General features: G+C 40.5%; 1 protein-coding gene across 38 annotated transcripts in view; it reads left to right on the top strand.

The window, feature by feature from the left end:
• ASCC1 (activating signal cointegrator 1 complex subunit 1) overlaps nt 1-15,868 on the top strand; it is a 121,103-nt gene that overhangs the window by 52,351 nt on the left and 52,884 nt on the right. For 27 of the 38 annotated variants that reach the window (NR_045564.1, XM_047425259.1, XM_024448032.2 and 24 more), the window contains 2 exons: nt 3,110-3,246; nt 11,796-11,915. Coding sequence is in view for 37 of the 38 variants with exons in the window: in XM_047425259.1 (XP_047281215.1) it covers nt 3,110-3,246; nt 11,796-11,915 (257 nt within the window). In the remaining variant the exon portion in view is untranslated. The remainder of the gene's footprint in view (nt 1-3,109; nt 3,247-11,795; nt 11,916-15,868) is intronic. The other 11 variants (XM_047425261.1, NM_001369099.1, XM_047425258.1 and 8 more) reach the window with 1 other exon arrangement.

Below are 15,868 nucleotides of genomic sequence, written 5' to 3'. Positions count from 1 at the left end.
GAAGATGTGGGGAAACAGGAGCCTTCATACATTGCTGCTGGGAATGTTTGTTAGTTCAGCCAATGTAGAGAATGGTTTGGTGGTTTCTCAAAAGTTAAACATAGAATTGCCATGTGACCCAGCAGTTCTCCTCCTGGGTATATACCCTAAATAACTGAAAACATATGTTAACACAGAAATTTGTACACAAATGTTTATAGCAGCATTATTCCTAATAGCAAAGGTGCAAAAAACCCAAATCTTCAATAGATGAATTAATAAACACATTTTGATACATACATACACTAAAATATTATTTAACTCTAAAAAGGAGTGAAGGAGTGATAATGCTACAGCTTGGATGAACCTTGAAAACATCATGGTAAATGAAAGAAGCTGGTCACAGAGGTCTTATATTGTATGATCCTTTCTATATAATATATCCAGAATAGATAAATCCAAAGAGACAAAAAGCAAACTAGAGGTCACTAGGGGATGGGGCATGGAGAAAGAGGAGTGATTATTTATTTAAATGGGTATGAGGGCTGGTCATGGTGGCTCATGCATGTAATCCCAGCACTTTGGGAGGCTGAGATGGGCGGATCACCTGAGGTCAGGAATTGGAGATCAGCCTGTCCAACATGGTAAAAACCCTGTCTACAAAAAATCAAAAAATTAGCCAGGAGTGGTGGCAGGCACCTGTAATCCCAGCTACTCAGGAGGCTGAGGCAGGAGAATTGCTTGAACCCGGGAGGCAAAAGTTGTAGCGAGCCAAGATCGCATCATTGCACTCTAGCCTGGATGACAGAGCAAGACTCCATCACAAAAAATAAAAATAAATATAAAGTAAATAAATAAATGGATATGGAATGCTTTTATCAGATGATAAAGTTTTGCTACTAAAGAATGCTGGTGGTTGCACAACATTGAATACACTAAATATAAATACTGCTGTATTGTACACTTTAAAATGGTTAATTTTATATTATGTGAATTTCACCTCAATTTTAGGGATTCATGAGGTATATTTACTTTTTGTGCTTCCCAGAGCCAAAATTTTTTTTTGGAGACAGAGTGAGTCTCACTCTGTCTCCTAGGCTGGAGTGCAGTGGTGCGATCTCGGCTCACTGCAACCTTTTCCTCCCAGGTTCAAGCAATTCTCCTGCCTCAGCCTCCGTAGTAGCTGGGATTACAGGCACACACCACCACACCCGGCTAATTTTTGTATTTTTAGTAGAGACAGGGTTTTGCCATGTTGGTCAGTCTGGTCTCGAACTCCTGACCTCAGGTGATCTGCCTGCCTCGGCCTCCCAAAGTGCTGGGATTACAGGCATGAGCCACCGCGGCCAGCCAGAATTTCATTCCTTTTTGAGGCTGAATAATATTCCACTGTGTGTATATACTACGGTTTGTTTATCCATTCATCTGTTGATATACATTTGGGTTATTTCCATCTTTTGGCTGTTGTGAGTAGTGCTTCTGGAAACATGCATGTACATGTATTTGAGTCCCTTTTTCAGTTCTCTTGGGCATATACCTAGGAGTAGAATTGCTGGGTCATGTGGTAATTCTATGTTTAACTTTTTGAGGAACTGCCAAACTCTTTTTCACAGAGGCTGAGTCATTTTACCTTCCTAGCAACAATGTATGAGGGTTCCAATTTCTACACATCCTCGCCAGCACTTGTCATTTTCCATTATTTTGATTTTTAGTGGGTGTGAAATGGTACCTCATAGTGGTTTTGATTTGCATTTCCCTAAGTGACTAATGATGTTCATGTGCTTGTTAGCCAGTTCTGCTTGTTAGCCATTTGTATTTCTGCCTTGGAGAAAAGTCTATTCCAGTCCTTTTCCTTTTTTTTTGAGACAGAGTCTCACTTTGTCACCCAGGCTGGAGTGCAATGGCGTGATCTTGGCTCACTGCAACCTCTGCCTCCCAGGTTTAAGCGATTCTCCTGTGTCAGCCTCCCGAGTATGTGGGATTACAGGCGCCTGCCACCACACCCAGCTAATTTTTGTATTTTTGGTAGAGATGGGGTTTCACCATGTTGGTCAGGCTGGTCTTGAACTCCTGATCTCAAGTGATCCACCCGCCTCAGCCTCCCAAAATGTTGGGATTACAGGCGTGAGCCACTGTGCCTGGTCCCTTTTCCCATTTTAAAATTGGGTTCTACTGGGTTCTGTGGCTCACACCCATAATCCCAGCTATGCAGGAGGCTGAGGCAGGAGGATCGCTTGAGCCCAGGAGTTTGAGGTTACAGTGAGCTGTGACTGCACCACTGCAGTCCAGCCTGGGTGACAGCAAGACCCAGTCTCTTAAAAAATAAAAAAATTGGGCCAGGCGCGGTGGCTCACTCTTGTAATCCCAACACTTTGGGAGGCTGAGGCGGGCGGATCATGAGGTCAGGAGATTGAGACCATCCTGGCTAAAATGGTGAACCCTGTTCTCTACTAAAAATACAAAAAAATTAGCCGGGCGTGGTGGCGGGCGCCTGTAGTCCCAGCTACTTGGGAGGCGGAGGCAGGAGAATGGCATGAACTCAGGAGGCAGAGCTTGCAGTGAGCCAAGATCACGCCATTGCCCTCCAGCCTGGGCAACAGAGCGAGATTCTGTCTCAAAAATAAATAAATAATTAAAAAATAAAAATATTAGATTTCTTTTCGTTGTTGAATTGGAAGAGTTCTTTATATATTCCGGATACTAGACCCTTATCAGGTAAATTACTTGCAAATATTTCTGCCATTCTGTAGGCTTCTTTTCACTTTCCTGATAGTGTTCTTTGATGCACAAAAGTTTTTTAATTTGGTGAAATCCAGTTTATTTTTTTCTTTTGTCGTCCATGTTTTTGGTGTCATATCTGAGAATCCATTGCTGAATTCCAGGTCATGATCTATTTTGTTAATTTTTTTATATGGTAGGAGGTAGTAGTCTATCTTTATTCTTTTGCATGTGGGTATTCTATTGTTCTAGCATCATTTATTGAGGAGACTTTCTCTATTGAATGGTCTTGGCACCTTGTGGAAAATCACTTGGCTGTAGGTGTGTGGGTTTATTTTTGGGGACTCAATTTTATTCTTGCCATTTGCCTTTGTATGGGCTGAGTTTCTTGTTTTTCTCTCTTTGATAACAGGATCATGGGGTTGACAGCAGCATTTTCCAGAATCCTAAAAAGCTTCATCTAACTATTGGGATGTTGGTGCTTTTGAGTGAGGAAGAGATCCAGCAGACATGTGAGATGCTACAGCAGTGTAAAGAGGAATTCATTAAGTGAGTAATTCTCAGGGATGGGGGTTGGGTGGTCTACCTGGGCTGGCTTCTTTTTGGTATTACAGACTTGTTTTTGAACCAGAGGGTGTATAACATGGGAAGGACTCATGTGATTTGATGGAGCCCACTCAGGCAATACAGGCTAACCTCTCATACCAGATTCCATAACCTTAATCACATCTACAAAAATCTCTTTGCCATGTAAGATAGAATATAAATTCTAGAGAGTGGGACATTAACATCTTTGGGGGTCATTATTCTGTCTATTACAGTAACTCAAACATTATAACACGATTCTCTAGGAGAGTCTTCATTATATTTTAGAAACACTGTGTTTCTTTTTTTTTTTTTTTCCTGTCGCCCAGGCTGGAGTGCAAACATTATAACACGATTCTCTAGGGAAGTCTTCATTATATTTTAGAAATACTGACTTACTTTCTTTTTTTTTGTTTTTTGAGATGGAATCTTGCTCTGTCGCCCAGGCTGGAGTGCAGTGGCGCAATCTCGGCTCACTGCAAGCTCTGCCTGCTGGGTTCTCGCCATTCTCCTGCCTCAGCCTCCTGAGTAGCTGGGACTACAGGCGCCCGCCACCGCGTCCGGCTAATTTTTTGTATTTTTAGTAGAGACGGGGTTTCACCATTTTAGCCAGGATGGTCTTGATCTCTTGACCTTGTGATCCGCCCGCCTTGGCCTCCCAAAGTGCTGGGATTACAGGCGTGAGCAACCAAGCCCGGCCTCTTTTTTTTTTTTTTTTTTAATACAAATAATTTTATTTGATTCAGCAAGAATTTTAAAAAATAAAACTTTTTTTATTATTATTTTTATTTTTATTTTTTTTAGGGACGGGGTCTTTCTCTGTTACCCAGGCTAGCTAGTCTCAAACTCCTGGTCTCAAGCAACTCTCCTGCTTCGGCCTCCAAAAGTGCTGGGATTACAGGCGTGAGCTGCCATCTCCAGCCAGTTCAGAAAGGATACCAGAAACAGTCTAAGCAATCTGTTTTGACTCAGGGAAAGCATTACTGTTCTGAGGGCAGAGTTGTTATTCTTTTTTTACTGTAAAATTTTAATTTACACATACATCTGGCATAACAGCTTTATTTCAAAGAACCGTATCTTCCCCTATTTCCCTTTACTTTCTTCCTTTTACTTAAGATTGACAAAAGAGAGAAATGTGAAAGCCAATTCACTCAAATAGTTTTTTTACTCCATTCTTGTAGGCAGGCCCCATGCTATTCTAACATGGCCTTATAGAAATGGTTTACCTGGTTCATTGGATAGAACAAGGTAAAAGGATCTAAAATTTTTCTCTAGTTATGTTGTATATGAAACTGTTTAGCCAAGAACAGTGGCTCACACCTGTAATCCCAGCACTTTGGGAGGCCGAGGCGGGCAGATGACGAGGTCAGGAGATCGAGATCATCCTGGCTAACACGGTGAAACCTTGTCTCTACTAAAAATGCAAAAAATTAGCTGGGCATGGTGGCAGGCACCTGTAGTCCCAGCTACTCAGGAGGCTGAGGCAGGAGAATGGCGTGAACCCGGGAGGCGGAGCTTGCAGTGAGCCGAGATTGCGCCACTGCACTCCAGCCTGGGCGACAGAGTGAGACTCCATCTCAAAAAAAAAAAAAAAAAAAGAAACTGTGTAATACAAACACTTTATGGGCCAGTTATCTTTTTCAACTAATTTTTTCAAAGACAAACTATTTTTCTTGAGCAAGATCATAAGCTGATAGGGTTTGCAGTCTTCTATCCTTTCTGAATCTCAGAGAGCAAAGAACACTTCTTGTCATGTTCTTTGCTCAGTAACGGACATATCTGTTTTCTCTAGATCTTACCTGAAATTCAAAATAATTTGGTGTTTGTCATTAGATACTTTCCATTTCCCTTATATAAAGCAAAGCATTATGCTTTATTTTACAAAGCAGGGCAGTTTTACCTGGTTTAAGGATCAGTTCTGATACTTTAATGTATTCCCAGTTTACTTTTTGCTAAACTAAACTGAAAGCTACTACATTTCCTTGGCTGCCATTGGGATAATCCTGCTAAGAAAAAATTTAAAGGTAGATAAAATATTTTGTTTAGAGAAGTACTTGTTCTTTTTACCTTATGAAAATCAGGTCACAGGTTTTTAATCACTGAAGGTTTATCCTAAGCTATGCAAAGATTTAGCTGAGTTCCTCCCTTTTATGTTTCTTGGTGCCTTTTGTGACTAAATGCCAAATCTCAGCCCTTTAAGCATGTCAGAGTTAGTGTGCCTGGGGAATAAAGAGCAGTTTTAATAGTTCCTCAGAATTTTTGACATGACAGTATGAAAACAGTAATTGTAGTTTTTCAAATTCAGCAAAGCTTTTGAAATAGGACAAAGTTACCCTGCCAAAAATCTGCAGTGCATGCAAAAATTTGTTTAAAGATGCTCTTTTTAAAAAGCTGGAAAGATGTGGAACCAGCGAGTAAAATAAAGCAAGCCTCCCCAACCTTCTTCTCCTGATTTCTCCCATCACATGCATTTGTTTAAAAAGTGCAAAACTGATTTACTTCTGAGAAGAGACTACTTCTTAAAAAAACAAAAAGGGTACTTCTGTTAAATCTCTGGTAAGTAAATCAGTAAATTGGATCATCGAATTTTTTCTTGCTCTTTGACCTTAGTCTTTGTGCTTGGTGTACTTAGAAAAAATGTCCATAAATAATGGCATTTCTAACCTGAACCTTTTATGGTGTAGTGGTCCCAAATTAAAATATGAAAGGAAAACACTGAAAAATGAACAGACCTGTACATAGTGTGCTGTAGTTTAATTTGATGGTTTTTAAAATGGGAGTATTGAAATAAATGTGGCTATGTTGGAATTTGATTTAAACTGTGGAGCTGTATGGCTATATTGAAGAAATGAGTAGTTGAGTATTCATTTTAAATTTGGGGGTAGTTTTTTAATTTGAAGGATGCTATGAGACCAAAAACAGGAGTTTTGTTTCAATTTTTCAGTGAAAGGCTCTTGTAGCTCTATAGATTTTGAATGAATTATTCAGTGTTTAGTAAATTCGGAAGCTCCGGCTGTGTCCCTGGTGACTTTCCTTTGTGAGATGTAGGACACAGACCGTGCACTGGCTCTGAGTACGGAGTCTGACAAATGTGCAGCTCTTCTTCAGTCACAGCAGCACCCTCCTGTGCCTCAGTGTTTCCAGCAGGCCTGACGTCAAACCAAAGAAGTTTAAAGGGACTAGAAAGAGGAGAGAAAATACGCGTGAACAAACATTAATGCCTGATTATTGCCTCACGTGTCATCAGTTGGAAAGTAATTTGCTTACTGGTGTCCCAGATGTAATTGTTTGGCCACTAAGACAAAGAGTGTTTATCGGGCAAACCATCGGATTTCTATCCTGCTCTTTCATCTCCCTCTTGATAAATCTCAGGGGTGGGTTGAAACAGTTTGTGTTTCTGCTCATAAAGCAGGCTTTGGATCCTGTTTCATTGTTTCTAATTTTTTTTCTTCTTAGTACCCCATCTAATTCCAAGTATTTGAGGTAGTTAAGAGTGAGGACATGTATACAAAAGAAATGTTACAGTCAGAGATTTAGAAACCATAAGGATGGTATAGGGAGAAAATTCTATCTGAAAGTCAAGGTAAGGTAATAATTGTACTTGAGCATTAAAGTTTGGTACTATTTTCTGACACCAGTGTACTTGAACTAAATTACAAAAAGAAATACACCACTTAGTATAGTTCTTGTCTGATAAAAAGCAGTATGACAATTTTTTTTATAGTTTAAAAAAATTTTCAGTTGTGGTAAAATACAACATAAAATTTGCCATCATAACCATTTTAAGTGCATAGTTCAGTAGTGTTAAGTACACTCAGGTTGTTGTGAAGCCAACCCCAGTATAACAGTTTTTTCAGGAGAGTAACCTTTTCTGGTTCTCGATCCATCAAAAGTTTGTCATGTAAATCTTAATAAAGAATGCTGAATGATGATTGACAGTGTCTTTAACAGGAATTTTGCAGAAGATAAAAACATTGTTCATATGGGTCTTTCTTCTGTTGACCTTAGAAATTGCAGATATAACATTAAATATAACCCATTAAAAACATTTTAGTGGGAATCTAAGCCAATGGTGTGGTGATGCTTTCTGGTGATATAACTATGCAGGGTGAGAGCTTTAAAAATGTCGGAGGATGTGTATTTAGTGTGAAACTTTTTTTCAAACAAACTTTTTTGACTTCATTTTGATAGGATTCAGTGGCAATCTTTCAAATCGAATTCTTTGGCTAGTACTTGGAATGAAGATACATTGTGTATTGATGGAAGCTACATACCTCAGATGACAGTTCAGAGCTTGGCTTGTGTTTTGAAACATTTCACTTCTTATTAGAGGTGGCTATAGGAAGACTTATTATGATCAAGGCTGTAATTTTTCTTAATTAGAAAAAGTATCTGGGCCGGGCGCAGTGGCTCATGCCTGTAACCCAAGCACTTTGGGAGGCCAAGCTGGAAGGATTGCTTGAGCCCAGGAGTTTGAGACCACCCTGGGCAACATGGAAAGAAAAGTGTCCGCCTAAAATAGTTGAGTTACTAGTTTCACACTGAGAGAAGTTTTGGTCTTATGCAATAATAAGGCCTTGAAGTGTTAAGGGAATCTTTACTACTAGGATTCCTAGGCTACAAAGAGCATCCCCATGACCTGGGTTCAATGTCAAGACAACTTTTTCCTTTTTTTCCAGCTGTCTTTTGATTGATCCTAAAATCCTTTTTTTTTTCTTTTTTTTTTTTTTGAGATGGAGTCTTATTCTGTCGCCCAGGCTGGAGTGCAGTGGCGAGATCTCTGCTCACTGCAAGCTCCGCCCCCTGGGTTCGCGCCATTCTCCTGCCTCAGCCTCCTGAGTAGCCGGGACTACAGGCGCCCGCCACCACGCCCGGCTAGTTTTTTGTATATTTAGTAGAGATGGGGTTTCACCGTCTTTCAGCATGTTAGCCAGGATGGTCTCGATCTCCTGACCTCATGATCCACCCGCCTTAGCCTCCCGAAGTTCTGGGATTACAGGCGTGAGCCACCGCACCCGGCCAAATCCTTTTGTTTTTAAGGCAGTACCACATTTTTACTTAATGACAATATAGCATGTGTATTATGCTGTTCTTGCATTATTGCTATAAAGAAATACCAGAGACTGGGTAACTTATAAAGAAAAGAGGTTTAATCGGCTCACAGTTCTGCAGGATTGCAAGAAGCATGCTCGGCTTCTCGGGAGGCCTCAGAAAGCTTCAATTATGGCAGAAGGTGAAGGGGATCAAGCACATCACATAGCAGAAGCAGGAACAAGCAACAGAGAGTGGCAGGGGAGGTGCCACACACTTTGAAACAAGTAGATTTTGTGTGAACTCAGAGTGAGAGCTCATTTATCACCAAGGGGATGGCCCAAGCCATTGACAAGAGATCTGTCCCCATGATCCCAACACCTCCCACTAGGCCCCACCTCCAACATTAGGGATTACAATTCAACAGGAGACTTGGGCAGGGACAAATATCCAAACTATTTAATATATCAGCCTGTGACCATATTCTTCTCAAAATTGTCCAGAACAGCTTCCCCCTTAAAACATCCATTTAATGTTTGCCAGAGATTTATTGAACACCCATTTTGTATAAGTCATGGTGTGAGATTTTGAGGATATAGATGTGGATAAGATGGAGAAAGTGCCTATCCCCTTGGGGTTTGGAGAAGGCTGCGCAGTGAGCTGATTTTTAATTGGGTTTCAGCATGGCACAACAAGGCCTTTTCTGGTTGCAGTACAAGTTTCTTTATTAAGGGGTCCAGGAAGAAAACAGGATGGTGGGGTTTTACTTAACACAAAGGTAATACGTGTTAATTTTAGGAAAACCAGTAATTACAGATACACAAAAATAAAATATCATTTTGTAATCTTACCACTAAAAAATAATTACCATTAGCACTTTGGATATGTATATGTATGTTTTTCCTTTGAGGTGTAATTTACTTACACTAAAAATGCACAGATCTTAGGTGTAGTTGATGAGCTTTGACCAATGTCTATACCTGTGCAACCTCACCCAAATCAAGACGTGGAACATTGCCATCACCCCATGAGGGTCCCTCATGCCTTTTTCCAGTGAATTCACTTCTCCCAGAAGCAACCTCTGTTCTGATTTCTATTACATAGATTTGGTGGTTTGTTTTTAAATGTCCCATAAATAGAATTATTTAGTATATACACTTTTGTGTTTGGTTTATTTTGGATATTTTTTAAAATTTTAACTTGTTAATGGATAATACATTTACATAGTTCAAAAAGTTGCAAAGGATACGCAGTGCAGTTTCTCTACCACTGAAATTCATCAGCCACCTGCTTTCCTCTCTAGAGGCAACCAGTGTACCACTTTCTCTGTATCCTTCCAGGGATTTTATAGATGTATGAACAAATATATATAACATATTTTTTATACCTCCATCTTTTGTACAAGTAGCATAGCATGCACATTGTTGTAAACCTTTTTTAAAACTTAGAAATATAACTTATTATATCAGTTTTATATATCATTTTATATCAGTTTTTAATGTTTTTTATATTGTTTTATATCAGTACCTAAAAGCTTCCTTAGTCACATGTATAGTTTATTTATTGCTCTTAGTATTATAATTTATCTAATCAGTACCATGTTATTTGACTTTTAGTCTGTTGCCAATCTTTTGGTACTCAAAACAAAACTTTATGCCTCATTTAAAACCCTATGCATAGGCCAAGTGCAGTGGCTCACGCCTGTAATCCCAGCACTTTGGGAGGCCAAGGCAGGCAGATGTCTTCAGCCCAGGAGTTCAAGACCAGCCTGGGCAACATGGCAAAACCTAGTCTCTACTAAAAGTATAAAAATTAGCCAGACATGGTGGCACATGTTTATAATTCCAGCTACTTGGGAGGCTGAGGCACAAGAATTGCTTGAACCTGGGAGGTGGAGGTTGCAATGAGCCAAGATCACGCCACTGCACTCTAGCCTGGGTGACAGAGTGTGGCCCTGTCTCAAAAAAAAAAAAAAAACCCTATGCATAAATTATTTCTCATAAATATGAGTATATTCTTATTGCATCATGCTAAGAGGCACATATTGTCTGGTTGTTTCTTTTACTGTTAATATTCAGCTTGGTCAGTGGGTTCAGGTGTGGTCATCATGACCATTATTTATAGAGCTCCTCTTTAGAGAGGTCACTTTATATTTCCCCCAGCCTTTTGCCCAAGTTTTAGCAGCCATTGGTGATCATTGTCAAGATCTATTATTTTATCAGGAGTTGCAAGATTCTAATTTTGTTGTTCCTTCTGCATTTATTAGTTTTGGAGTTCTTCTGTAAAGGAGAACTTTGCTTTATCAACAGTTACACAAGTTGATGTGTAACTGAATTCAAAATTGTTTCCTTAGCTTGGGCTCCTGGAAATGGAATTGCTTGGGGAAAGGGTTTTTATTGATGAAGGCTTCTCATAAATATTGACAGATTGCTTGTAAAGATGTGATATCAGGCTGAGCGCAGTGGCTCATGCCTGTAATCACAGCACTTTGGGAGGCCAAGGCGGGAGGATCACCTGAGGTCTGGAGTTAAGACCACCCTGGCCAATATAGCTAAACCCCATCTCTACTAAAAATACAAAAATTAGCTTGGCGTGGTGGCAGGTGCCTGTAGTCCCAGCTACTCAGGAGGCTGAGACAGGAGAATCACTTGAATCTAGGAGGTGGAGGTTGCAATCCGAGATCGTGCCATTGCACTCCAGCCTGGGCGACTAGCAAAACTGTCTCAAAAAAAATAAAATAAAAAAGGCCAGGCGTGGTGGCTCACACCTGTAATCCCAGCACTTTGGGAGGCTGAGGCGGGCAGATCACGAGGTCAGGAGATCGAGGCCATCCTGGCTAACATGGTGAAACCCCATCTCTACTAAAAATGCAAAAAAATTAGGCGGGCGTGGTGGCGGGCGCCTGTAGTCCCAGCTACTCGGTAGGCTGAGGCAGGAGAATGGTGTGAACCCGGGAGGTGGAGGTTGCAGTGAGCCGAGATCACGCCACTGTACTCCAGCCTGGGCAACAGCAAAACTCCGTCTCAAAACAAAACAAAACAAACAAACAAAAAAGTAAATAAAGATGTGATATCAGTTTATACCTCCACCTTTGTTATATGAGTGAAATGCTGTTTGTAACTTGTAGAAATAGTAGAGATGGGCGCCTGAGAGATGAGCCAACATAGTAAATGTCTTTATGGATCAGAACTGTCATCACTTGACTTTCTTCATGAGACAGTGCTAATAAACTGGTATTGGGATAAATGTAGTTTGACATTGGAAATACTTTCCGGTGTTTTCCAATTTGTGTGCATTGAAAATTTATTAATTTTGAAATTAGAAGGGCAATTAGATAATGTTAGGAAAAAACACAACTACCATGTTTTTGTACACATGTAAGTAACATACATATTTGACTATGTGTATTAACCATGTTTCAAAATAAAATAGCCCTCTTAGCTTAAACAGTTATAGATATCTTAATGCTTTTTCCTTTGCAGTGATATTTCTGGGGGTAAACCCCTAGAAGTGGAGATGGCAGGGATAGAATACATGAATGATGATCCTGGCATGGTGGATGTTCTTTACGCCAAAGTCCATATGAAAGATGGCTCCAACAGGTATATTTCTGGAATGCTTCTTTGTTTCAATCAAGAGGTACCTAAAAGCATCCTCAAAAGTTTGATTCATTTTGATTCCTTTTCTTTGAGTTCTTATTGTAAAGAACATGTTAATTATTTCTCTCTCTTTTTTTTTAATAGTAAGTTAATCTCTTGAAAGAGGAATTTGTTGTAGGAAAAAGTATCAGATTTTAAGTCTGACTTTTAGGATGGGGGTCTTACTATGCCCAGGCTGATCTCAGCGTCCTGGGCTCCAGGGATCCTTCTGCTTCAGCCTCTCAAGTAGCTGGGACTATAGGCGCGCACCCTGCACCAGGCTAATGTGGTAGCTACTGAGTTACTTGGATAACGGGTATTGATAGTAACAATCTAGTCTTTGTGAACTCAGTGGTTCCTTTGTGTTTTCCAGGATAAGAGGCAGGAAGGATGGCATTTTAGAGTATGAGTTTCAAACGTGATGTAATGCAGTTGTAGTGGATACCAGGACAAAATGGGGATGAAAACTTTACCAACTTCATAGGGTTATTAATCTTAATTTTGGCTGGGCATGGTGGCTCACGCCCGTAATCCTAGCAGTTTGGGAGGCTGAGGTGGGTGGACTGCTTTAAGCCCAGGAGTTCAAGACTGGCCTGGGCAACAGAGTGAAAGAAACTCTCTCTATACAAAAAAAAAACACAAAAAACAAAAAAAAAAAAACCCAAAAACAAAATTAGCCAGGCATGATGGTGTGCGCCTGTAGTTTCAGCTGCTCAGGAGGCTGAGGTGGGAGGATCACCTGAGCCTAAGGAGGTCAAGGCTGCAGTGAGCCGTGATCACACCACTGCACTCCAGCCTGGGTGACAGAGCGAGACCCTGTCTCAAAAAAAAAAAAAAAAATATTGGCCGGTTGCGGTGGCTCACGCCTGTAATCCCAGTGCCTTGGGAGACTGAGGTGGGCGGATCACGAGGTCAGGAGATCGAATCCACCCTGGCTAACACGGTGAAACCCCATCTCTACTAAAAAAATACAAAAAATTAGCCGGTGTGGTGGCATGCTCCTGTAGTCCCAGCTACTCGGGAGGCTGAGGCAGGAGAATCACTTGAACCGGGGAAGCGGAGGTTGCAGTGAGCCGAGATGGTGCCACTGCACTCCAGCCTGGTGACAGAGCGAGACTCCGTCTAAAAAAAAAAAAATTTAAAAAGATTAAATTACTTAAATTATTTAAAATGCTTAAAATAGTGCTTGGCACAGACTTACATTATCGAAACATCAAAAAATGTTTACTCTTTTTTTTATTATACTTTAAGTTCTAGGGTACATGTGCACAATGTTCAGGTTTGTTACATATGTATACATGTGCTGTGTTGGTTTGCTGCACCCATTAACTCGTCATTTACATTAGGTATTTCTCTTAATGCTATCCCTCCCCCGGCCCCCCACACCACAACAGGTCCAGGTGTGTGATGTTCCCTGCCCTGTGTCCAAGTGTTCTCATTGTTCAATTCCCACCTATGAGTGAGAACATGCGGTGTTTGGTTTTCTGTCCTTGCATATAGTTTGCTCAGAATGATGGTTTCCAGCTTCATCCATGTCCACAAAGGACGTGAACTCATCCTTTTTTATGGCTGCATAGTATTCCATGGTGTATATGTGCCACATTTTCTTAATCCAGTCTATCATTGATGGACATTCGGGTTGGTTCCAAGTCTTTGCTATTGTGAATAGTGCCACAATAAACATACGTGTGCATATGTCTTTATAGTAGCATGATTTATAATCCTTTGGGTGTATACCCAGTAATGGGATTGCTGGGTCAAATGGTATTTCTAGTTCTAGATCCTTGAGGAATCACCACACTGTCTTCCACAGTGGTTGAACTAGTTTACATTCCCACCAACAGTGTAAAAGCGTTCCTATTTCTCCACATCCTCTCCAGCACCTGTTGTTTCCTGACTTTTTAATGATCACCATTCTAACTGGTGTGAGATGGTATCTCATTGTGGTTTTGATTTGCATTTCTCTGATGACCAGTGATGATGAGCATTTTTTCATGTGTCTGTTGGCTGCATAAATGTCTTCTTTTGAAAAGTGTTCATATCCTTTGCCCACTTTTTGATGAGGTTGTTTGATATTTTCTTGTAAATTTGTTTAAGTTCTTTGTAGATTCTGGATATTAGCCCTTTGTCAGATGGGTAGACTGCAAAAATTTTCTCCCATTCTGTAGGTTGCAGATGTTTACTCTTTTTAATTTTTTGTTCTTACTACACCTACATCCCTCCCAGCGATTCTCAGTCTGCAGTTGAGGCGATTTCTAAGGCTGGCCTTGGCATTCAGAGCCATTTCCAATGTTAACATCATTTATTAGTTGAATCAAAGCTTTTGGTGAACAGAGAGCCCCACATGCACTGGAAATTTGTTTTTGTGTGGTCTTTTTATTTAGGGCAGGGTAGAAGAAGGTTCACACTGAGCCAGAAACCTTCTAGAGAAAATCTGATTCTCTAGGCAGGCTCCCACATTTATTTGCTTTCCTGCAGGATTTCTTATAAGGTTTCTGTTATCTTAATTTGAATTGATAATCTCAATGGTGTCTTATCTCATTTCATTTGGAAGCAAGTTTTGGGGAGAAGGGAGGAAAAATGGTATAGAATGGCATAGGAGCTATTTTGGTGTGTGTTCTGTGCCAGATTTTTCTTTTTTTTTTTTGAGACAGAGTTTTGCTTTTGTTGCCTGGGCTGGAGTGCAGTGGTGTGATCTCAGCTCACTGCAACATCTGCTTCCCAGGTTCAAGCAATTCTCCTGTCTCAGCCTCTCGAGTAGCTGAGACTACAGATGCCCACCACCATGCCTGGCTAATTTTTGTATTTTTAGTAGAGACGGGTTTCACCATATTGGTCAGGCTGGTCTCGAACCCCTGACCTCACGTGATCCACCTGCCTCGGCCTCCCAAAGTGCTGGGATTACAGGTGTAAGCCACCGTGCCTGGCTGCCAGATTTTTCTTTTCCTCAATATCTGGTGTGTGCCTAAACAGCATACTAATGACCTACCTTAAAAACCAGGAGCACATTGTTACTTTATAGGAGATCACATACTAGGATATCCCAAAACATTTCCGCCAGGTTGAAATTTGATATCTGGATCATTTACTTTGTGTTCTAAGTATCCAAATGCCTTCACAGTATTCTAGAACTACAATGTACTATGTATAGGGTAGATTATTTTTCAACTTTGTGAACAGAAACAATGAATCATCTAAGATGGCAGTTCTGAAACTTTTTGGTCTCACAGTCTCATAATTCTTAAAAATTATTGAGAACCTCAAAGAGTTTTTGTTTTACATGAGTTGTATCTGTCAGTATTTACCTGAGTAGAAATTAAAACTGAGAAATTTACTTGTTTATTCATTAAAAAATAACACAACAACACTTTTTTTTTTTTTTTTTTTTTTTTTTTGTGACGGAGTCTCGCTCTGTCGCCCAGGCGGGAGTGCAGTGGCGTGATCTAGGCTTACTGCAAGCTCCGCCTCCCGGGTTCACGCCATTCTCCTGCCTCAGCCTCCTGAGTAGCTGAGACTACAGGCACCCGCCACCACGCCTGGCTAATTTTTTGTATTTTTAGTAGAGACAGGGTTTCACCGTGTCAGCCAGGATGGTCTTGATCTCCTGACCTTGTGCTCTGTCCACCTTGGCCTCCCAAAGTGCTGGGATTACAGGCATGAGCCACCGTGCCCGGCCACAACACTTTTTTTTTTTTAACTGAAAAGTAACACTATTTTCCAACCCCCAAATTTAGTGAGAAGATAGGCATGGTTTTACATATTTTTGAATCTCTTTAATAGAAGACAAATGGTTTCTCATACCTGCTTCTGCATTCAGTCTATTGTGATATGTTGTTTTGATTGAAGTATATGAGAAAATCCAGCCTCACAGATACAGATATGTAGTTAGAAAAATGGGGAGTACATTAATGATCTTT

Source organism: Homo sapiens, chromosome 10 (genome assembly GCF_000001405.40).
Source record: "Homo sapiens chromosome 10, GRCh38.p14 Primary Assembly".
Classification (NCBI taxonomy): domain Eukaryota; kingdom Metazoa; phylum Chordata; class Mammalia; order Primates; family Hominidae; genus Homo; species Homo sapiens.
Note: the sequence above shows the minus strand (reverse complement) of the source record. Positions and strands in the feature narration are given on the sequence as shown.